The 24,910-nt window shown below is 45.2% G+C and overlaps 1 protein-coding gene across 14 annotated transcripts in view, besides 3 other annotated features; it reads right to left on the minus strand.

The window, feature by feature from the left end:
- Nucleotides 1-24,910, minus strand: part of UIMC1 (ubiquitin interaction motif containing 1) — a 117,598-nt gene that overhangs the window by 89,921 nt on the left and 2,767 nt on the right. For 5 of the 14 annotated variants that reach the window (NR_146150.1, NR_146149.1, XM_005265932.4 and 2 more), the window contains exon 1: nucleotides 11,725-11,869. The exons of 2 other annotated variants lie outside the window; for them this stretch is intronic. The gene's annotated coding sequence lies outside the window, so the exon portion shown is untranslated. Of the gene's footprint in view, nucleotides 1-7,072; nucleotides 7,187-11,358; nucleotides 11,518-11,613; nucleotides 11,870-24,910 lie in introns of those variants that run through there. 7 more of the 14 variants (XM_005265933.3, NM_001317961.1, XM_005265930.3 and 4 more) reach the window with 4 other exon arrangements.
- Nucleotides 11,060-11,109: a silencer, noted in NCBI's record as "silent region_16666". NCBI's record gives its function as "represses an Ori minimal core promoter by ATAC-STARR-seq in GM12878 lymphoblastoid cells {active_cell/tissue: GM12878}" and the evidence as "EXISTENCE:reporter gene assay evidence [ECO:0000049][PMID:35858748]".
- Nucleotides 11,480-11,869: a silencer, noted in NCBI's record as "silent region_16667". NCBI's record gives its function as "represses an Ori minimal core promoter by ATAC-STARR-seq in GM12878 lymphoblastoid cells {active_cell/tissue: GM12878}" and the evidence as "EXISTENCE:reporter gene assay evidence [ECO:0000049][PMID:35858748]".
- Nucleotides 11,880-11,979: a silencer, noted in NCBI's record as "silent region_16668". NCBI's record gives its function as "represses an Ori minimal core promoter by ATAC-STARR-seq in GM12878 lymphoblastoid cells {active_cell/tissue: GM12878}" and the evidence as "EXISTENCE:reporter gene assay evidence [ECO:0000049][PMID:35858748]".

The following is a 24,910-nucleotide window of genomic DNA, read 5'->3' on the forward strand; positions in this document are numbered from 1 at the left end:
TGTTTTCTTTTCTTATCCTCACTCTGGGGCGGGGTGTGGGGGGCAGTGTGCTGGGAGAGTATCTGGAGCTCATTCCTTTGGGCTCTGGCTTTTCAGATAGTGTTATCAAGGCTCTGCCAGGGCCCTGCCTATTGCTGGCCTTGGAGTGAGTCAGCCAAGTACAGGAAAACTTGTTTTTCTCTTTTTAACTTTGCTTCAATTCCACTACTATTAATTACTCAGTAGAAATGAAAACATTACCACCCAAAAACTTGTATATGTATGTTCATAGCAGCTCTTTCCATAATGTCAAACACCAAAGACAACCCAGATTCCATCAACAGATGAAATGACAACTTGTGGGCTGGGCATGGTGGCTCACACTTGTAATCCCAGCACTTTGGGAGGTCGAGATAGGCAGATTGCTTGAGGACAAGGATTTGAGACCAGCCTGGCCAACACAGTGAAACCCCGTCTTTACTAAAAATGCAAAAATTAGCTGGGTGTGGTGACATGCACCTGTAATTCCAGTTACTCAGGAGGCTGGGGTAGGAGAATTGAATTGCTTGAACTCAGGAGCCGAGACCATACCACTGCACTCCAGACTGGGTGACAGAGAAAGACTCTGTCTCCAAAAAAAAAAAAAAAAAAAAAAAAGGCCAGGCACGGTGGCTCACACCTGTAATCCTAGCACTTTGGGAGTCCAAGGCGGGTGGATCACGAGGTGAAAAGATCGAGACCATCCTGGCTAACACAGTGAAACCCCATCTCTACTACAAACACAAAAAATTAGCCAGGCATGGTGGCAGGAGCCCGTAGTCCCAGCTACTTGGGAGGTTGAGGCAGGACAATCGCTTGAACCTGGGAGGCAGAGGTTGCGGTGAGCCGAGATCATGCCATTGCACTCCAGCCTGGGCAACAAGAGTGAAACTCCATCTCAAAAAAAAAAAAAAAAAAAAAGGAATATAAAGTGGTACATCCACTTTGGAAAACAGTTTGGGAGTTTCTTAAAAAATAAGCATGTATCTACTACATTACCCAGCCATTTCATTCCTAGGTATTTACTCAAGAGAAATAAAGACGTGAATGTTCATCATAGCAGCCTTAGTCATAAGGGACAAAAACTGGAAATAACCCACATATCCATCAACATGTGAATAAACAAATTGAGACCTATCTCTACAATGAAAAATTGCTCAACAATAAAACGGAACAAACTACTGATGCATCCAACGACACAGATGAATCTCAAAGACATTATGGTGAGCAAAAGAAGCAATGTCTAAAAGACTACAAACTATGATTCTACCTGTATGAAACTAGAAAAAAACTAATCAACAGTTAAAGGAAAACAGACCAGCATTTGCCTGGAGCCAGGTCAGAAGAGGAAGAGAAATTACTGGTAAGGGGCAGGAGGGTAACTTTTGAGGTAATGTTCTCTATCTTGATTGTGGAGGTGATTACACAGTTATATACCTTGATGAAAACTCAAAATAGTCACTGAGTGGTGTTAAGTCAATAAACAAACTAAAAAAGGACTTGTGGTTACCATCATGACCATGTAAGGAGGTTGACAAATCTCTTCTCAAGAAAACTATAAAGCTAACCCAAAACAGTCAAGACAACCATTTCAGCACTTGGAAACTGACCAAAAGCATAAAACAAACTAAGAAATGTTCACTCATGAAAACGACTGAACTTTGGGTAAGAATACCATGAGTCTCTGTGATTCACACCTAGGATCAACTCCCCTATTCAGTACCCTACTCCTCAGTTCAAATCACAGGTTGAACTATGAGTCCAGTAGTTTAACCAGGGAAGGACAGAATATGAGTACCAACCACTGCACTGCAACAGCTGAAGGGAACAGATGAGATGTGGAGTATCGTTACTCCAATCTTAGTGGCCAATTGCCTGCCATTGGGTCTTACCTGAGACAAGCAACAAATGAGAAGATGAGTCAGAGATTTATCAGGAAGCTCCATGAAATAAGACAGCCATAGGAGGATTCATAAACTCTCAAAATATCCCAGAATGGTCAGAGGCTGTTGAAATGCACAGCAGAGACCACAATAGGCCCAAGCTTCCTACATAACCCTGCTCAGCGGGATCTATGTGCACGCGTGCGCACACACACACACACACAAATTTGAGAGCCCTGAGAAAAGAGTTGGGGCAGACTTGAAAGCTAGTACACACCTTCCAGCCCTGTACAGAACCAAGATGTTATCTTTAACTCTCTTTCCCTCATTTTTCATATCCAATTCATCCTTATGTGCAACTGATTTCACCTCCTATACCTCTCTTTAAGCTCTCCATTTCTTTTCATTTTCACCACTATCACCATCCAAGCTACCAACAACTCTCGTGTAGACAATTTTAACAGACTCATAACTGGGTTCCTTACTTTTACCACCGTTCCCCTCCAATCTCTACACACCAAAGCTGTTTTCTTTTCAACTGCAAATCTTAAAGTACTCCACTACTTAAAACATTTCAGGCCGGGCACGGTGGCTCACACCTGTAATCCCGCACTCTGGGAGGCCGAGGCAGGCGGATCACAAGGTCAGGAGATCGAGACCATCCTGGCTCACACAGTGAAACCCCGTTTCTACTAAAATTACAAAAAAATTAGCCGGGCGTGGTGGCGGGCCCCTGTAGTCCCAGCTACTGAGGAGGCTGAGGCAGGAGAATGCCGTGAACCCAGGAGACGGAGCTTGCAGTGAGCAGAGATTGCACCACTGCACTCCAGTCTGGGCAACAGAGCGAGACTCTGTCTCAAAAAAAAAAAAAAAAAAAAACCCATTTCAATGGTTTCCCACTATTTTTATAGTTAGGACATTTTTGCTCTTAACATAGTCTACAAAGTATGTCCCGTATTATCTGCCCTCCTGCCAGATTGCTCTTTCTAAGCTCTCTCACAGTTCTTAAGCCCCAGCCATACTCCTTTAATGTCATGAGGCCTCTATACTTGCTTCTTATGAATGGAAGATTCCCCAACATTCCCCTTCACCTAGTTAATTCCTTCTCATCCTTCAGAAGAATAACTTTCTCAGAGAAATCTTTCTTGGCTCCCCAGATTGGTCAAATACCTCTACTATACATTTTCAAAGTACCATGCACCTGTCAAAATCAGTTAACACAGTTTTAATTACACACTCATTTGCGTGATTTTTCATCGAGAAAGAAATGTCTGTCTTTCTCAATGGACTATAGCCTTAAGGAAGGCAAGGAAGAAACAGTCCCAGCACCTACCAAATGCTGTGGCAAATGATAGGGGATCAATAAATACTTATTTGCAGTGGTTCACCCCTGTAATCCCAGCACTTTCGGCAGATCATCTGAGGTCAGGAGTTCGAGACCACCCTGGCCAACGTGGTGAAACCCCATCTCTACTAAAAATACAAAAATTAGCTGGGCATGGTGGCACATGTCTGTAATCTCAGGTACTCGAGTGGCTCAGGCACAAGAATCACTTGAACCCAGGAGGCAAAGGTTGCACTAAGCTGAGATTGCGCCACCACTGCACTCCAGCCTGGACGACAGAGCAAGACTCTGTCTCAAAAAAAAAAAAAAAAAAAGTCTGGGTACAGTGGCTCACGCCTGTAATCCTACCACTTTGGGAGGCCAAGGCGGGCGGATCACCTAAGGTCAGGAGTTCGAGACCAGCCTGACAGACATGGAGAAACCCTGTCTCTACTAAAAATACAAAATTAGCCAGGCGTGGTGGTGCATGCCTGTAATCCCAGCTACTCAGGAGGCTGAGGCAGGAGAATCGCTTGAACCCGGGCGGTGGAGGTTGCGGTGAGCCAAGATCATGCCATTGCACTCTGGCCTGGGCAATAAGAGCAAAACTCCGTCTCAAAAAAAACAAAAACAAAACAAAACAAAAAATTATACAAACCTTGGAATAATTTAGTGTAGTGAATGTATACGTATTTTTCTCCTTTATTCAAAATTCCTACAAGTCTGCGCTCATTTTATAATTTAAAAATAATGCTCAGGCTGGGTGCAGTGTCTCACGCCTGTAATTCCAGCACTCTGGGTGGCCAAGGCAGGAGGACTGTTTGAGCTAGGGGGTTTGAGACCAGCCTGGGCAACACAGCAAGACCCCGTCCCTACAAAAAAAAATTAAAAATCAGTCAGGCATGGTGTTGCATACCTGTAGTCCCAGCTACTCAGGAGACTGAGGTGGGAGATAACTTGTGCCCGTGAGATCAAGGCTGCAGTCACTCCAGACTGAGTGACAGAGCAAGATCCTGTCTCAGAAAAAATAATAATAATAATCCTCAAAAAAATCTTGCAGTATTTTTAAGTTTTCTAACATACATTTTAGTTTTTAGCATATAAGTCTTATACATTTTATTAAATTTAATTTTTGTGGGTACATAGGTGCATATATTTATGGGATACATGAGATGCTTTGTTACAGGTACACAATATGTAATAGTCAGATCATACAAAATAAGGTATCCATCCCCTCAAGCATTTATCCTTGTGTTACAAACAATACAATTATACTATTTTAAAATGTACAATTACATTATTATTGACTATAAGTCATCCTATTGTGCTATCAAATACTGGGTCTTATTGATTCTATTTTTTTTTTTGGTACCCACTAACCATCCCCACCTCCCCACCATCCCCCACTACCCTTCCCAACCTCTAGTAACCATCCTTCTACTATCTCCATTAGCTCAACTGTTTTGATTTTTAGATCCCACAAATAAGTGAGAACATGCAATGTTTGTCTTTCTGTGCCTGGCTTATTTCACTTAACATAATGACCTCCAGTTTCACCCATGTTGTTACAAATGACAGGATCTCATTCATTTTTATGGCTGAATAGTACTCCATTATGTATAAGTACCATATTTTCTTTATCCATTCATCTGTTGATGGACACAGATTGATTCCATATCTTGGCTATTGTAAATAGTGCTACAACAAACCTGGGAGTGCAGATATCTCTTCAATATACTGATTTCCTTTCTTTTGGATACATACCCAGCAGTGGGACTGCTGGATCATACGATAGCTCTACTTTTAGTTGTTTTGTTTTCTTTTTTGGGATGGAGTCTCGCTCTGTCACCCAGGCGGGAGTGCAGTGGTGCCATCTCAGCTCACTGCAAGCTCCACCTCCCGGGTTCACACCATTCTCTTGCCTCAGCCTCCCGAGTAGCTGGGATACAGGCGCCCGCCACCACACCTGGCTAATTTTTTTACATTTTTAGGAGAGACGGGGTTTCACCGTGTTAGCCAGGATGGTCTCAATCTGACCTCATGATCCGCCGCCTCGGCCTCCCAAAGTGCTGGGATTACCGGCATAAGCCACCGCGCCCGGCATACTTTTAGTTTTTTGAGGAAACGCCAAACTGTTCTCCATAGTGCTGGTACTAGTTTACATTCCCACCAACAGTGTACAAGGGTTCCCTTTACCCCACATCCTTGCCAGCATTTCCTATTACGTGTTTTTGGATATAAGCCATTTTAACTGGGGTGAGATATTTCACTGTAGTTGTGACTTGCATTTCTCTGATGACCAATAATGTTGAACGCCTTTTCATATGCCTGTTTTCCACTTGCATGTCTTTTTTTTTTTTTTTTTTTGAGATGGAGTTTCATTCTTATTGCCCAGGCTGGAGTGCAATGGCACAATCTCGGCTCACTGCAAACTCTGCCTCCCAGGTTCAAGTGATTCTCCTGCCTCAGCCTCCTGAGTAGCTGGGATTACAGGCATGCACCACCACGCCCGGCTAATTTTGCATTTTCAGTAGAGATGGGGTTTCTCTATGTTGGTCAGGCTGGTCTCGAACTCCCGACCTCAGGTGATCCACCTGCCTCGGACTCCCAAAGTGCTGGGATTACAAGCCTGAGCTACCGTGCCCAGCCTGCATGTCTTCTTTGGAGTAATGTCTATTCAAATCTTTTGCCCATTTTTTAAATTGGATTATTAGATTTTTTTTCCTATAGAGTTGAGTTCCTTATACATTCCGGTTATTAATCCTTTGTCAGATGGGTAGTTTGCAAATATTTTCTCCTATCCTGTGGGTTGTCTCTTCACTTTATTGTTTCCTTTGCTGTGCAGAAGCTTTTTAACTTCATGTGATCCCATTTGTCCATTTTTGCTTTGGTTGCCTGTGGTTATGGGATATTACTCAAGAAGTTTTTGCCCAGACCAATGTCCTAGAGAGTTTCCCCAAAGTTTTCTTGTAGTAATTTCATAGTTTGAGGTCTTAGATTTAATACATTTAATACATTTTTATTTGATTTTTGTATATGGCAAGAGATGGAGGCCTAGTTTCATTCTTCTGCATATAGATATCCAGTTTTCTAAGCACTATCTATTGAAGAGACTGTCTTTTCCCCAGTGTATGTTCTTGGCAACTTTGTCGAAAATGAGTTCACTGCAGGTGTGTGGATAGACTTATACGTAAGTTGTTTTATGGGGTTTTGTTTTTTGAATAACTAGTGAAAGAAATCAAAGATCTAAATAAGTAGAGACATACCATGCCCACAGGTTGGAAGCTTCAACATAGTAAACATATCAATTCTCCCCAAACTGATCCTAGGTTGTTGTTTTTTTTCTTCAACCTTTGGGAGCACAGAACGTTATCTTAGGTTTAATGCAATTCCTATAAGAATCCCACTAAGACTTTTAGTAGACATAAACAAGCTTATTCTAAATGTATATAGAAAGGCATGGGCCCCAGAACAGTTTAAACAATCTTGACAAAGAATAAACTGAGGGCCAGGTGCAGTGGCTCACGCCTGTAATCCCAGCATTTTGGGAGGCTGAGGGGGGGCGGATCACAAGGTCAGGAGATCGAGACCATCCTGGCTAACACAGTGAAAACCCGGCTCTACTAAAAAAAAAAAAAAAATACAAAACATTAGTGGGGCGAGGTAGCAGGCGCCTGCAGTCCCAGCTACTTGGGAGGCTGAGGCAGGAGAATGGTGTGAACCCGGGAGGCGGAGCTTGCAGTGAGCTGAGATCACACCACTGCACTCCAGCCTGGGCGACAGAGCGAGACTCTGTTTCCCAAAAAAAAAAAAAAAAAAAAAATCAGCCAGACATGGTGGCACATACCTGTAATCCCAGCTACTTGGGAGGCTGAGGCACGAGAATCGCTTGAACCCAGAAGGGAGAGGTTGCAGTGAGCCGAGAGCGCACCACTGCATTCCAGCCTGAGCAACAGTAAGACTGTCTCAAAAAAAAAAAAACAAAAAAAAAAAAATTAGCTGGGCATAGTGGCGTGCACCTGTAGTCCCAGCTACTCAGAAGGCTGAGGAGAAGGGATCTCGAGCCCAGGAGTTCGAGGTTGTGGTGAGCTATGATTGCACCACTGCACTCCAGACTGGTGACAGTGAGACCTTTTCCCAAAAAAATAAAAATAAAAAATAAAACAATTAACCTCTGGTGATCCAAGTCAGAACATCGGTTACCTCTGGAGGGTACTGATTGGGAAAGACACAAGGGAGCCTTCTGAAAATGTTCCATACCTTGGTGGTACTTACACGGGTGTACACATTGAACTGTACAATTAAGACGGGTTCACTCTACTGTATATAAATGATATCTTAATAAAAAGTTTTTAAAAATAATAAATATGGCTGGGCACGGTGGCTCACGCCTGTAATCCCAGCACTTTGGGAGGCCGAGGCAGGTGGATCACGAGGTCAGGAAATCGAGACCATCCTGGCTAACACGGTGAAACCCCGTCTCTACTAAAAATACAAAGAATCAACCGGGCGTAGTGGCACGCGCCTGTAGTCCCAGCTTGAGAGGCTGAGGCAGGAGAATGGCATGAACCCAGGAGGCGGAGCTTGCAGTGAGCGGAGATCGTGCCACTGCACTCCAGCTCAGGACAGAACGAGACTCTGTCTCAAAAATAATAATAATAATAATAAATATTTGATGAGTGAATATTTCAATAAATCCTAAGAAACCAGAATATATCATTATGAGGAAACACAGGTTCAGAAAAGTAACTTGCCCAAACACAGTAGGCACTTGCACTTTTGTCTCCTGACATGAAAACTGGACTCCAATTTCCATGACTTATATCTCCTCTAACTAAAACTGCTGCTTGATACAGGATACGCACCTATAAATATTTGCTGAGTGAATAAAGAGCACAAAGTGTATATTTAAATTATTAAATGCTATATATGCATTTAACGCACAGGATAAAATTAAAGGTAAAAAAAATTAAAGTGCCACGAAGCACTTTATCAACTAATTACAATGAGCTTATTTCTATAATTTTAAAAAATAGGTAAATGCATACCCACACACACACACATATAAACACACACCCTTGATATTTTATATCCCAGTTTATACTCAGTCTCAATTTGAGACAGGTGTGTAACAACAGAATTCAAACATACTTTGAGTAGTAATTGTAATATAAAAGGATATGGCTGAAAAAAGTTGTATGGAGGATATAAAACTTAAGGTAGGCCGGGCGCGGTGGTTCACGCCTGTAATCCCAGCACTCTGGGAGGCCGAGGCAGGCAGATCACGAGGACAGGAGTTCAAGACCAGCCTGACCAACAGGGTGAAACCCCGTCTCTACTAAAAATACAAAAATTACCCGGGCATGGTGGTGCGCGCCTGTGATCCCAGCTACTCAGGAGGCTGAGGCAGGAGAATCACTTGAACCCGGGAAGCAGAGATTGCAGTGAGCCAAGACTGCGCCACTGCACTCCAGCTTGGGCGACAGAATGAGACTCTGTCTCAAAAACAAACAAACAAACAAACAAACAAAAAACTTAAGGTAATCCTTAAATCTAAGAGTATAGCATGAGTAGTACTTGGCAGCAGAGATGAGTATGGGGGAAGACTGGAGAAGCGTAATGCACTGGGAAAACCTCTCACACAGAGTAGTTTCCATCCTATTTAAATGTTTCCTGTACCGTGTGTGCACGTGTATTGTTACTGAGACAAGGCCTCACTCTGTGATGGAGTGCAGTGGCATGATAATAGCTCACTGCAGCCTCGACTTCCCAGGATCAGGCAATTCTCCCACCAGAGCCTCCTGGGCAGCTGGGACTACAGACATGTGCCAACAAGCCCAGCTAATTTTTTGTATTTTTTGTAGAGACTGGGTTTCACCACGTTATCCAAGCTGGTCTTGAGCTCCTGGGTGCAAGCAATTGCCCACCTCAGCCTCCCAAAGTGCTGGGATTACATGTACCATATACTTAAACCAATATGCTCAAATTTGATAGCAAACAAAGCTATACCACAAAATATGTCTAATTTCTAAAAGGCATGTAAATAAATAAAAACCCAGCATAGAACCACTGCAGGCTCAAGGTGGGTTTTCAAAGAATCACAGCAGATGATGGATCAATAAGAAGCATTAAGTACAGGCTCCCCACAGATACAAATTCCAAAATTTCCAGTGCTTCATGAGATTTAGCCACATTAAATTACTGTTTTCCACAGTAATTCTAAAAACGTAAATAAGAAAGGTCCCTGATCAGTTCATTTAAACAAGCAAGCCTGTATACAGTTCAACTACTATTTTTTTTTAAGTTACTACCCTTCAAAGATGAAGAACTCACTAAAATAATGGTCTATCTTCACTTATTGAACTAAAGCTAAAATGAATTACCACTAACTGCCAATGAAGGAGGAATCAAGTCTGGATGCCAACAGCAGCTTCTTAATGACAATTAAGGAACAAAATGTCTCCAGAAAGATGCAGAAGCAGGACAGGTGCCCCAGTAATGAGACTTATTTATTTCACAGGTAACATTTTGGGCAGTGTCCTTGAAAATCCTCAATTTCAGATATTATTTGCCATTTTATTTCAGCACATCCATCGTCTTGATCTATCTGAAGAAAAATCACTGACAAGGTAATTTAAAATCTTGACAGTCTGGGTACCAAACTTGTCAAAATTGCTTTGAAAGCTTGGGGGCACAGGGACCTTAAGAACAATCCTTTATAAATGATTGACTTTTACCCCTAAATAGGTACCTAGCACTTTCTTTATTTGGAGACAAGGTCTTGCTCTGTCACCCAGGCTGGAGTGCAGTAGGGCAATCAGCCTCGACCTGGTCCAAAGGTCAAGCAATCCTCCTACCTCAGTTTCCCGAGAAGCTGGGAACCACAGGCACGCGCCACCACGCCCAGCTAATTTTTTTTTTTTAATTTTGAGGGTTTTAAGAGACAGGGTCTCACTCTCTTGCCCATGCTGAAGGGCAGTGGCACGATCATAGCTCACCTGCAGCCTCCACTTCCTGGGCTCACGGGATCCTCCTGCCTCAGCCACCTGAGTAGCTGAGACTATAGGCAGGCGCCACCACACTCTAATAATTTTTTTTATTTTTTGTAGAGACAGGGTCTCCTATGTTGCCCAGGCGGGTCTTGATACTCCTGGACTCAAGTGATTTTTCTGCCTCGGCCTCTCAAAGTGCTGGGAGTATAGGAGTGAGCCACCAGGCCCGTCGACCAAGCGCTCTAATAACTAAATACAATGAACTTATTTCCGTAATTTTTGTAAAAAGGTAAATGCATACCTACACACGCATACATCCCTGATACTTCATTTTCCATTTTTTCAGTTTATATTCAGCCTCAGTTTAGGACAAGTGTGTAACAATACAATCCAAACACTTTAGTATCTAGTATCACAACAACTCTGCGTCGTAGGTATTCATATCACGATGTTCCACATGAGGAAACTTAACGCAAACAGCGGATAAGCTGGTAAAGGGCTGAGAGTTGAAGCTGAATGTATCTGATTCCAAAAACACACTTTCATTCGACTACAAGGCACTGCCTCCCTTGACAGGAAAACAATAAAGACAGAAGCATAAACTTTTCACTTTTTCCGGGTGTCATTTCTATATCTCGGTGCGATGTAGTGATTAAATGAAAGAACACTGGAGTCCAGCTGCTGGGATTCAAATCCAGCTCCACTACTGCCCGGGACTCGCGCCCCGTTAACTGAGCGGCAGGGCACCAGCCCGCCGGCTGTGGCGCTCGAGAAGCCTGCGGCGCTGCCTAAGCACCTGGAAACGCGCCGGCCCTGCGGGGGCGAAATCGTCTAGGACGATAGGGATCTCCAAGGAGTGCGCTGGGGGTTATTTTCGGGGCAAATAATTAGAGAAAACGAGGATCACACAACAAAACAGCAACCCGGCACGGGAAGGAGCGCGGGCCTGGCGCCCCGAGGCGTGAGGCGGCGCGGACCACGGCTGAGGGAGCTCGGCGCTCGCCCGACGCCCGGGAGGATGCAGGCCGCCCCCCAGGTGTGAAAGGGACCCGCCCGGCAACCGAAGGTGCAAAGCCCAACCTGGCGTTCCGAGGGGCCCTGCGTGGCGTCAGGGGAGACCCAACCCGCGTCCCGAACCCACCTCAACCTTGGGAAGGACCCAGCCCCGGCATCTGGAGAAGCCCAACCCGGCACCAGTAATGGCCGGTCCCGGCGTCCGGAATCCGCCCCGGAATCGGGAGGGTCCCAGCCCCGCATCCCGAGCCCACTTCGGCGTCCGGAGGGACCCACCCCCGACTTCGGCAAGGCCAGCCCCGGCGTCCGGAGCCCACCCCCGCGTCGCGAGAGACACACCCCGGCATCAGGAAGGGCCGCCCCGGCGTCGGGAGAGGCCTACCTTGGCGTCGGGAAGCGCCCCTCCCGGAGAGTAGCGGGCCGCGGACCCGCTGAGGAAGAAAAGGAGGCAGGGAGGGGTGGGCGGAGCTGTGCGCAGGCGGCGGGTACTCACTCGCTGGCGCAGGCCGCTCTGTAGACCTTCTCCGGGTTGCCGGGGGTCGCGAGCCGCCACACGTTGGGAGCGCGGGGGGAGGGGGAGGGGCGCGCGCGTCCGATGCCAGAGACACGCTCTCGGGGCGGGCGCAGGCGCAGCGCGCGGAGACTTAACCAACCCCCGCCGCGGGGGAGCCATCCGGGACGTACCAACTGCGCGGGAGGCGCTGACCGCCCGTGAGCCGGCTCGCACCTTGCGCGGTCTCAGTTGCTTGCGCTTTGGGGGAAAGCAAGGAGTAACAACAGACTCAGAGATAGCTGTGGGGCAAAATGTATAGAACGGCCACTTTTGAGGACAATTCCGTGTGATGAAATTTAAAATGTCCATTTTATGACCCAGCAATTTCACGTCTAGAAAAATACGGAAATGCCGGGTGCGATGGCTCACGCCTGTAATCCCAGCGCTTTGGGAGGCAGAGGCGGGCGGATTACCTGAGGTCGGGAGTTCGAGACCAGCCTGGTCAACATAGAGAAACCCCTTCTGTACTAAAATACAAAAATTAGCCAGGCGTGGTGGCGCGTGCGTGTAATAACAGCTACTCAGGAGCCTGAGGCAGGAGAATCGCTTGAATCCGGGAGGCGGAGGATGCAGTGAGCCCAGGTCACTGCCACTGCACTCCAGCCTGGGCAACAGAGCGAGACTCCGTCTCAAAAAAAAAAAAAAAAAAAAAGGGAAAGAAAGAAAAGAAAAATACAGACACTCCTACAGGTGTGCACAAGACATGTTCAAGGAGGCCAGCTTCCTGGCGGAAAATGTGAACAGCAGAAATGTCCAATAAGTCTCGCATAAATAAAACACCAAATGTCCCTACAGTGATATACTACAACAAATAAAACAAAGGAATCCTATATGTGTCAACATTTGCTAGGTCACAACTACTTAAGTTATTGAAATAGCGACATGCCAACAAATATGTACACTGTGAAATGATTTATATAAATTTAAAAATAGGTAAATTAGAACAGTATATACTGTTTACAGAAAATCTATGTGTGTAAAAGTATATAAGATGAACTAGATGGATACCATGGTAATGGTAAAGGGGTGAAAGAAGGAGTAGCGGAAAATGTGGGGAGAAGCAAACAGGACTTCAGATAGATCTGTCATGATTTCTATTAAAAAGAAAGACCTGGCCAGGCGTGGTGGATCACGCCTGTAATCCCAGCACTTTGGGGGGCCAAGGTAGGCAGATCACTTGAGGTCAGGAGTTAGAGACTAGCCTGACCAACATGGTGAAACCCCATCTCCACTAAAAATACAAAAATTAGCTTGGCGTGGTGGTACATGCCAGTAATCCCAGCTATTCGGGAGGCTGAGGCAGGAAAATCGCTTGAACCTGGGAGGCAGAGGTTGCAGTGAGCCGAGATCACACCACTGCACTCCAGCCTGGGTGACAGAGTGAGACTCTGTCTCAAAAAAAAAAAAAAGAGAGAGAGAGACCTAAAAATAAACGTAAGAAAATGTTAACAGTAGGGTAATCGAACGTGGAACTACAGGCACATTATTCTTAATACTTTTCTGTAACATTTACATTCTGGAATGCCTTTGCCCTATCTCCCCCATGCCACCTACCTCCAACTGATCCTCCAAAACCCACCTGAACCATTTCTTCCACTGCTTCCTTGAACCTCAGTTCATTTCTCCTGCATCCTTCCTCAGCTGCTGGGACATTCGATCTCCCACAGTATACTACAATTCTTTGCTCTATGAGTCTATATCTCTTCTATAAGACTTGTGAGCTCTATGAAGACATGATCCATGTAATCCTCACAAGTAGCAATGGGCCTGTCCTAAAGCAAACACTCAAAAAATGTTGATTGAATTGAATTGAGGAGTGGGGAGATCAGAAAAGGTTTCAGTGCAGGGCCAAAAAGATCCTTTTAGGGCATCTTACTTCAGGGAAGACTATTGATGCATTGGTGGTGGCAGCCATTCTGCAAACCTGAGGACAGACAGCCTATGGCAGGCAGCCTGTAAGATGGCCCTAGATCCCACAGGCTGGCAACCACACTCTTGTGTAATCTCTCTTCTTGTGTGTGGGCTATGCTTAATAACTCACTTCTAAACAATAGAATAAGGCAGAAATGATGGCATGTCATTTCCAAGAGTGGGTGATAAAAACTCTATGGCTTCCTTCTTGGGTACTATCTCAAGTTCTCAATTTGCTCACTCAGGCCAAATGCTATACTGTGAGAAATAGCCATATGGAAAGACTCACAGGGCAACAGCTTGATCACATCTTAGGAGAGACCTTAAGCCAAAGACCTGTCTAAGCTGTGTCCCAACTCGTGACCTATGAAAACTATGTTTATGGTTTTTTGGTGTTTTTTTTTTTTTAAAGGTCTCACTCTGTCACCCGTACTGGAGTGCAGTGGTGTCATCAGGGCTCACTGCAGCTTCAAACTCCTGAGCTCAAGCTATCCTCCCACCTTAGCTTCCCAAGTAGCTGGGACTACAGGTGCATGCCACTGTGGCTAGCTATTTTTTCGTTGTTTTTTTGTGGAGACGGAGTCTCATTATGTGCCCAGGCTGGTCTCAAACTCCTGGGCACAAGTGATCCTTCCGCCTCAGCCTCCCAAAGTGCTGGGATTACAGGCATAAGCCACTGCACCTGGCCTATGTTTTAAGCCGCTAAGTTTTGGGGTAATTTGTTATATAAAAACATATAATTATTTCAGAGCTTAGAAGAGAGGAAAAAAAAAACAGAAAATAGCAGAGTTAGGACCCTAATCATATATACCTGGCAACCGTTCAACTTCTGGGTTTTCTATGATGTGAAATAATAAGTTTCCTTAATATTTACACCATTATGAGTCATGTTTTTCTGTTACCTGAAGTAGACAACATCCTAATTGATATAAAACTAAATGTCCATCATAAGAGAATGATGTATTATATAGTATATTCATAGAATAACATACAACAATTAAGAAATGAAAAACTAAATAAAATAAATGAAACACACTTTGGGAGGCTGAGGTGGGTGGATCACTTGAGCCCAGGAGTTCAAGATCAGCCTGGGCAACACAGTGAGACTTTGTCTCTACTAAAAATAAAAACAGGCCTAGCACGGTGACTCACACCTATAATCCCAGCATTTTGGGAGGCCGAGGCGGGTGGATCACTTGAGGTCAGGAGTTCGAGACCAGTCTGGTCAACATGGCGAAACCCCGTCTCTACTAAAAATACAAAAATTAGCTGGGCGTGGTGGCACGCGCCAGTAAGTCCCAGCTACTCGAGAGGCTGAGGCAGGAGAATTGCTTGAACTCCAACCTGGGTGACAGAGTGAGACTCCGTCTCAAAAAATTAAATTAAATTTAAAAATAAAAAATTATACAGATGCCGTGTGGCCAGAAAAAAAAAATAAGCAAACAAGTAGCCGCATGTGGTGGTGTGTGTCTGTAGTCCCAGCTACTCGAGAGGCCGAGGCAGAAGGATCTGTTGAGCCCAGGAGTTCCAGGTTGCAGTGAGCTATGATCGCACCACTGCACTCTAAACTGAGTGACAGAGTGAGACCCTGTCTCAGAAAAAAGAAATGAAACAGATCTACATGTATCATCACGCATAGACCTCAATACATGATATTAATTTTAAGAACCAAGTGGCAGGATAATGTAAGGTCCATGAGAATAGAAACTTTATTTTGTGTATTGCTGTGTCGTCAAAATTAGAACAATGCCTAGCACAGAGTAAAGAAAGATGAATGATATGCTCATTGTGATGCCATTTACGTAAACACACATATTCTTATGCAAATAATACCACATGTTTTTGAAGGTAGTAAATATATCTAAAAGTATTCCCATAGGCCTAGGAAGATACAGGGATATATAATAAACACATAATAGAGGATACTTTTTTTTTTTGAGACAAAATCTCACTCTGTTGCCCAGGCTGGAGTGCAATGGCATGATCTGCCTCCTGGGTTCAAGCGATTCTCCTGCCTCAGCCTCCTGAGTAGCTGGGATTACAGGCGTGTGCCACTGCACCTGGCTAATTTTTTGTATTTTTAGTAGAGATTGGGTTTCACCATGTTGGCCAAGCTGGTCTTGAACTCCTGACCTCAGGTAAGCCGCCTGCCTCGGCCTCCCAAAGTGAGCAACCGGGTCCGGCCAGAGGATGCTTTTCAAAAGGGGGCTGGAGGTACAAAATTGGGAGTGGACAAAAGAAACCTTAATATATCTGTAATGCTCTGATTTTATTTTAAGAACCACTACTGGGCCAAGTGTGGTGACTTATGCCTGTTATCCCTGTACTTTGGGAGGCAAAGGTGGGGAGATCACTTGAGCTCAGGAGTTCGAGACCAGCCTGGGCAATATGGCAAAACCCCATCTCTACAAAAAATACAAAAATTAGCTGGACTTGGGCTTGCACCTGTAGTCCCAGCTACTCGGGAGGCTGAGGTGGGAGGATAGCTTGAGCCCGGGAGGCAGAGGTTGCAGTGAGCCACCAAGGTTGTTCCACTGCACTCCAGCCTGGGTGACAAAGCAAGACCCTGTCACAAAAAAAAAAAGAAGAAAAGAAAAAAAGAACCACTACTGTGTAATTAAAAATGAATAAACTATAAGCTGGGCACAGTGATACATACCAGTAGTCCCAGCTACTCAGGAGACTGAGGTGAGAGGATTACTTGAGCCCAGGAGTTCAAGGATGTAGTACACTATAATCATGCCTGTGAATAGCCACTATACTCCAGCCTGGGCAACATAGTGAGACTACATCTCTATAAAAACATTTAAAATTTAGCTGGCTATGGTGGTGTGCACCTATAATCCCAGCTACTCAGGAGGCTAAGATGGGAGGATCCCTTGACCCCAGGAGTTCCAGGCTGCAGTGAGCTATGATTGAGCCACTGTACTCCAGCCTAGGCAATAGAGTGAGACCTTGTCTTTAAAAAAGTAATAATAATAATAATAATAATAAACTCTTAGAAGAAAACATATGGGAAAATCTTCATGACCTTAGATTTGGCAATAATATATTGAATATGACATCAAAAGCACAGGCAACACGGTGAAAAGAGTTCTGGAGATGTGTTGCGGGAAGTCAGGGACCCCAAACGGAGGGACCGGCTGGAGCCGTGGCAGAGGAACATAAATTGTGAAGATTTAATTTTTTTTTTTTTTTGAGACGGAATCTCGCTCTGTTGCCCAGGCTGGAGTGCAGTGGCACAATCTCAGCTCACCGCAAGCTCTGCCTCCTGGGTTCACACCATTCTCCTTCCTCAGCCTCCCGAGTAGCTAGGATTACAGGCGCCCGCCACCACGCCCAGCTAATTTTTTGTATTTTTAGTAGAGATGGGATTTCACCGTGTTAGACAGGATAGTCTCGATCTCCTGACCTCATGATCCGCCCGTCTTGGCCTCCCAAAGTGCTGGGATTACTGGCGTGAGCCACCGCACCCTGCTAGGGAGATTTTCTACATCCTGGTGACTGGCATCCAAATCTGTTTTTCCTGTCCTGGTTCCTAGCATCGAATCTCAATTGCCTACTTGACTTTTCCACCTGTTATGTCCCACATAAAGTTAAAACCCAGAACATTCACAACCAAATTTATGATCTTCCCCTCAAAATCTGTATATTTAACACATTATTTGTCTCTCTTAGTGACATTACTATCCACTCTCCCTCAAGCTATAAGCCTCCTAGACCACCACCACAAAGCCCCTCTCCCCACAGATTCAATGGGTCATGGAGTCTTACTGACTTCGAAACTGACTTCAGGGCCAGGCGCAGTGTCTCACACCTGCAATCCCGGCACTTTGGGAGGCTGGGTGGATCACTTGAGGCCAGGGGTTCGTGACCAGCCTGGCCAACATGGAGAAATGTTGTCTCTACTAAAAATACGAAAACTAGCCAGGCGCGGTGGCAGGCACCTGTAATCCCAACTACTCGGGAGGCTGAGGCAAGAGAATCACTTGAACCCAGGAGGTGGAGGTTGCAATGAGCTGAGATCGCGCCACTGCACTCCAGCCTGGGTGACAGAGCTAGACCCTGTCTAAAAAAAAGAACCCAAAAACCACACAAAAAGAAACCACACTGAATCAATGAAAAAAATAAATTATTCCATAATGATATTCAAAAAAGTAAAAACTCATTTGTGCCCATTCAAAGTAGATGTTTAAACAAGCTCTTACCTTAAAAATCAGTAAGGCAGGAGGATTACTTATGGCCAGGAGTTCCAGACCAGCCTGGGCAACATTGTGAGACCCCCATCTCTACAAAAAATGAATAATAAAACTAGCCAGGCTTGGTAGTATGTGCCTATAGTCCTAGCTACTTTGGAGGCTCAGGCAGGAGGATTGCTTGAGCCATGGAGTTTAAGGCTGCAATGAGCTATGATCTTACTATTGCACTCTAGCCTGGGTGACAGACGGAGATCTTGTATCAAAAAAAAAAAAAGGGCCAGGCACAGTGGTTCATGCCTATAATCTTAGCACTTTGGGAGGCTGGGTGGATCAGCTGAGGTCAGGAGTTCGAGACCAGCCTGGCCCACATGGCTCTACTAAAAATACATAAATTAGCCGGGCTTGGTGGTGCACATCTGTAATCCCAGCTACTTGGAAGGCTGAGGCAGGAGAATCGCTTGAACTCAGGAGGCGGAGGTTGCAGTGAGCTGAGATCATGCCACAGCACTCTAGCCTGGACAACAGAGCAAGACTGCATCCAAACACACACACACACACACACACACACACACACACACACACAAAGATACTTTCTGATCATAAGAGAGGAAACTTATTTACATAATGGAAGGTTTAAACTACCATTACCCTAATCCGGTGGTCAATTTAGCTTCACTTGGCGAATTAATCAGATATGATGTTATTATGTTCTTCAGATGCTACACAACATGAATCATGCAACATCTCCAAAGACGTATTCTAGCCAAAATATTTGACTTAAATACACCAAGTGTTTAGATATAACTTCCAGTTAAAGGAAACACAGCCAATAGAGATACAAGCTAAAAACCACAAGGAAAAAAGCAACCAATGCTTCTCAAACTACAGCACTTACACTATGATTTATTACAGCCAAAGGATACAAAGCAAAATCAGCACCTGGGATGAAGTCCAAAGGAAACTGGGCACAAGTTTCAAGAGTACCTTCCCAGTGGAGTCACTTAATTCCTCCAGCATCTAATTGTGACAACATTTGTGAAGTGGTATCTACCAGGGAAACTTGCCTGAGCCTAGGAATCCAGGGTTTTATCAGGGGTCAGTTACACAGGCTGCCTAGCTTACCACTCTGCCTAGTGCAAACCAAAGTTTCACACTCCCAGAAGGAAAGTAGATGTTCAGCATAAACTATATTGTTTGCACAAACAGTTTAGACTCAGTGAGCCACTTTTTTTCTTTTCTTTTTTTTTTTTTTTTTTTTGAGACAGAGTTTCGCTCTTGTTGCCCAAGTTAGAGTGCAATCTCAGCTCACTGCAACCTCCACCTCCCCGGTTCAAGCGATTCTCCTGCCTCAGCCTCCCAAGTAGCTGGGATTACAGGCGTGCAACACCATGCCCGGCTGATTTTTTGTATTTTTAGTAGAGACAGGGTTTCACTATGTTGGCCTGGCTGGTCTCGAACTCCTGATCTCAGGCAATCCACCTACCTCGGCCTCCCAAAGTGCTAGGATTATAGGCATGAGCCACTGTGCCCAGCTGCAGTGAGCCACTTTTATATGGAATTTGGAAACACTTCTGAAATCCAAGTTCCCAGATGCCAGCCAAAAGCCAAACTTGAGAGCAGACCTTTCAAAGGTCTACTATAGCCTCAAACCTACTATGTTAATTCTTTTCTGCACAATATGTAATGCTGTGGTTGAAACTTGGGGTGGAAGTTGAATGAGTTTGTCAAATGGACAACAGGAGATGGTAGAAGGACATTAAAGGTAATATTGGAAGGCTGAGGCAGGAGAATCGCTTGAACCTGGGAGGGCAGAGGTTGCAGTGAGGTGAAATCACAGTACTTCACTCCAGCCTGGGTGAAAGAGCGTTAACTCCATCTCAATAAATAAATAAATAAATAAAGGCAATGGGAATAGAATGAATAAAGGCAAAGGGGTGTGAAAGGATTCCCCAGTTGGAGAACCTACCACAGTGCTAAAGTTCATCCAGCAGGGCTTGGTACTTGAGAGAGTATTGGAAGTGGGTGGAAAAGGAAGTAGAATATACTGGGTCTCTTATACCACGTGACATTTTAACTTTATCCGGTAAGCAACAAGAAGCCATTGAAGTACTGCAGGTAAGAAAGGAGTATAGACCAGGCACGGTGGCTCATGCCTGTAATCCCAGCACTTTGGGAGGCCAAGGAGAACAGATCACCTGAGGTCAGGAGTTTGAGACCGGCCTGACAAACATGGTGAAACCTCATCTCTACTAAAAATACATCAGTATGTTAAATTATCAGAAAAATATAGCTTTTGGAATAAACTACATAGCTACCATTTACTATGTGCCAAGCAATGTGCTAAGTAGTTTACGGAGATTATATTAGTTAATCTTCACAACAACCATTTGAGGTGGGTATCATCTCCTCATTTTACAGATGGAGAAGCAGCCTCACAAATGTTAAGGAATTTACCTAAGATCACATAACTCATGCATGCAGAATGGAGCAATACATGTCAAGCTAAGTACCACACAGCGTTAACTGCTCAATTCTCAGAGATTTGTGGTTAATCCCCAGCCTGCTTGCCTCAGACATTGTCAGGGTTCAAGATATGACGGCTATCTGTTGCAGCTGGACTCTCTTCCTGATATGGCTCTGGACATACATCCCTCCAGCTCCAAGGGTGGCCCAGCGGGGCATGTAGAGTGGCTGGAATTCCCAAACTGTCACTGCAGTGATGAGGAGGAGCAACCTTATCTGTTTACTCTAACATGCTATACAGATATGCTCATTTTCTATGTGGACTATAATGGAGAAAAGGCTGGAAAGCATTACTTGACTCTAACCCAAAATCCTCTGTAAATCCCAGTCTGTGATCAACAGACTCCCCTCTGCCCTCAATCTGTCCTTAGAAAGTCTCTAAATTAAAACCTGGCATCCCCTGAAGACACTGCTTCCCTGCGTCCCTAAAGATACCATAAAATTAGGCCAGGCATGGTGGCTCACACTTGTAATCCCAGCACTTTGGGAGGCTGAGACAGGCAGATCACTTGAGGTCAAGAGTTCGAGACCAGTTTGGCCAACATGGTGAAACCCTGTCTCTACCTAAAATTAAAAAATTAGCCAGACGTGGTGGCGCACATCTGTAATCCCAGCTACTCAGGCAGCTGAGACAGAATCACTTGAACCCGGGAGGCTGAGGGTGCAGTGAGCCGAGACCACGCTACCACATTCCAGTCTGGGCAACAGAAGAAGACTCCATCTCAAAAAAGAAAAAAAGAGGCAGGACGCGGTGGCTCATGCCCATAATCCCACCACTTTGGGAGGCCAAGGTGGGGGGATCACCTGAGGACAGGAGTTTAAGACCAGCCTGACCAACATGGTGAAACCCCGTCTCTACTAAAAATACAAAATTAGCCAGGCATGGTGGCTGGTGCCTGTAATCCCAGCTACTCAGGAGGTTGAGGCAGGAGAATCGCTTGAACCTGGGAGGCAGAGGTTGCAGTGAGCCGAGATCATGTAATTGCCCTCCAACCTGGATGACAGAGCAAGACTCCATCTCAAAAACAAAACAAAACCAAACAAACAAAATACTATAAAATTATCCAGGCTGGGCACGGTGGCTCATGCCTGTAATTCCAGAACTTTGGGAGGCCGAGGCGGGCGGATCACGAGGTCAAAAGATCGAGACCATCCTGGCCAACATGGTGAAACGCCCCTCTACTAAAAATACAAAAAAATTAGCTGGGTGTGGTGGCACGCACCTCTAGTCCCAGCTACTCAGAAGGCTGAGGCAGGAGAATCGCTTGAACCTGGGAGGCAGAGGTTGCAGTCAGCCGAGGTTGCAGTGAGCCGAGATCTTACCACTGCACTCATGCCACTGCACTCCAGCCTGGCAACAGAGTGAGACTCCGTCTCAAAAAAGAAAATTATCCAGTAGGCCGGGCGCGGCGGCTCATGCCTGTAATCCCAGAACTTTGGGAGGCCGAGGCAGGTGAATCACCTGAGGTCAGGAGTTCAAGACCACCCTGGCCAACATGGTAAAACCCCGTCTCTACTAAAATTACAAAAAATAGCCAGGCATGGTGGCGGGTGCCTCTAGTCCCAGCTACTCAGGAGGCTGAGGCAGGAGAATCACTTGAACCCAGGAGGCAGAGGTTGCAGTGAGCTGAGATTGCGCCATTGCACTCCAGCCTGGGTGACAAGTGTGAACCTCTGTCAAAATAATGAAATGAAATATGAAATGAAATGAAAAATGAAATGAAATAAAGAAGCCTGAGAAGTGGACTAGGATTGCAGCAAAGATGTGCCCCTGGGCCCCTGCTGGGCTTGGTAGTTCCACAGTTCTCCTCAAGAGCACCCCTTCTGTTCTGGACCAATCTCAGATTCTGATTCAAACAACACTTCTTTACATCCTGTTAGTAAAAGCTAATCTGTGGCCACCTCTAATAGTTTGAGATGTGTTCTTAGAGATGAGAAATAAAAAGACTATTAGGAGGTAACTCAGATACCATTCTGATCCCCACATGGTAGATTCATTGTCCCACCCCATCCACACTAGCCCACTAGCCTTGGCTGTCATCTCCCTCTTTTTTATTTTTTTGAGATGGAGTCTTGCTCTTCTTGCCCAGGCTGGAGTACAGTGGCGCAATCTCGGTTCACTGCAACCTCCGTCTCCTGGGTTCAAGCAATTCTCCTGCCTCTGCCTCCTGAGTAGCTGGGATTACAGGCTTCTGCCACCATGCCTAGCTAATTTTTGTATTTTTTAGTAGAGACGAGGTTTCACCATTTGAACTCCTGTCCGCAGGTGATCCGCCCACTTGGCCTCCCAAAGTGCTATGATTACAGGCCTGAGCCACCACGCTGGCCCTTTTTTTTTTTTTTTTGAGACAGGGTCTTGCTGTGTCACCCAGGTGGTAGTGCAGTGGTACAACAGCTCACTGCAGGCTCAAGTGATCCTCTCACCTCAGCCTCCTGAGTAGCTGGGACCAAAGGCACACACCACCACACCCAGCTAATTTTTTTAATTTTGTAGAGATAGGGTCTTGCCATGTTGCCCATGATGGTCTTGAACTCCTGGGGTCAAGCAATCCTCCCGCCTCAGCCTTCCAAAGTGCTGGGATTACAGGTATGAGCCACTGTGCCCAGCCTAGTCATTATCTCTGTTATAGCAGTTAAAACATACTCTCTGATATTACATACTCAGTAGATACTTTTATGTCTGTCACTAGATTAGACATACTAGAGTTAGAAAAACTAGAGTTTAAGGCTGGGCGTGGTGGCTCACACTGGTAATCCCAGCACTTTGGGAGGCCAAGGTGGTCAGACCACATGAGATCAGGAGTTCAAGATCAGCCTGGCCAACATGGTAAAATCCTGTCTCTAATAAAAATACAAAAATTAGCTTGGTGTGGTGGTGCACACCTGTAGTCCTAGCTACTTAGGAGGCTGAGGCGGAGAATTGTTTGAACCTGGGAGGCGGAGGTTGCAGTGAGCCGAGATCGCACCACTGCACTCCAGCCTGGGTGACAGAGTGAGACTCTGTCTCAAAAAAAAAAGAAAAGAAAGAAAAACTAGAGTTGAATCTCTTTGAGAGCAAGAACTATATCTTAAGCACTATAGTTTCGTTTGCACATGCACACACATGCACATACAGAGTCAGTATTTAAGCAACTGAAATGTATGCTGAACAGTAGCCAGTTCCCGTCCCTTAGCAAAGTCATTTCCCTGGGATTGTTCATCTCCCATGGCAACAATACACAGTAGGATGTGTTGGAAAATGGTTCTCATTTTCCACAAGGAGGAAATAAAAAGCCAGCCCAACAAATATAAGGCATCACCTGCACTGCCAGGTCCCAGCAAGGAGTCCAGGCCTGGGCCATTCCTGGAAGCACTTACACAAAGACAAAATAGAAAACTGGTGACAATGAAGGCTGTTCAGACCCTCAGCAGGGTAGCTCAGGACTCTGCCTCCATGGCACAGGGGATGAACCCTGACAGCACTCATTGGAGAATAAATGGACATTATTTTGAGCATGTAATTGGATTGGAGGTTGTTTTCCAATAATATGCAAAGCAACTTATATACTCCACTCCCAGTATTTGTTACATAGTATTAAAAATATCCTTGTGGGTTCTGCGACTTCGACAAAAATCCCCTGTATCCCTTGGATTATCCCTGAATAACTTATGCTATATGCAAGTGTAAGTAACTAGAACTCTTAAGATAAATAAGTAGTTTGTGACCATCCTGGCTAACATAGTGAGACCCCGTCTCTAAAAGTAAATAAATAAATAAAAAGAGAATAAATAATGTGCAGTCACTGACTTTTAGGCTGGTCATCTGGTTTTGGCAAAAGGACATAGATTTGCAATCTAAGGACCAGTGTTCAAGCATGGGCTCGTACCTAACTAGCTGTGTGATCTTCACAAAACCTTTACCTTTCCTAGTCTGTTTCTTTATCATCACTTATGAAGAAATCCCTCACAGAAACCACCCTGAGGATTAAATGCTATAATGTAGGTGCTTTGCAAACTGTAAAGCACTGCCCTGGGCTGGGTGTGTGGTTCACACCAGGAATCCCAGCACTTTGGGAGGCTGAGGCAGGAGGATCGCTTGAGCTCAGGAGTTTGAGACCAGCCTGGGCAATATAGGGAAACCCTGTCTCTACAAAAAAAAAATTTTTTTTAATTAGCTGGGCATGTTGGTGTCCACTTGTAGTCCTTGCTACTCAGGAGGCTGAGGCTGGAGGATCACTTGAGTGTGGGAGTTCAAGGTTACAGTGAGCTATGATCATACCACTGCACTAGTGAGACCCTGTCTCGGAAAAAAAAAAAAAAAAATTGTAGGCTGGGTGTGGTAGCTCATGCCTGTAATCCCAGCACTTTAGGAGGCCAAGGCGGGCAGATCACCTGAGGCCAGGAGTTCAAGACCAGCCTGGCCAACAAGATGAAACCCCGTCTCTACTAAAAATAGAAAACATAGCTGGGTATAGTGATGGATGTCTGTAATCCCAGCTACTCGGGAGGCTGAG

The sequence above is a fragment of the Homo sapiens genome, chromosome 5 (assembly GCF_000001405.40).
Source record: "Homo sapiens chromosome 5, GRCh38.p14 Primary Assembly".
NCBI classification, from domain to species: domain Eukaryota; kingdom Metazoa; phylum Chordata; class Mammalia; order Primates; family Hominidae; genus Homo; species Homo sapiens.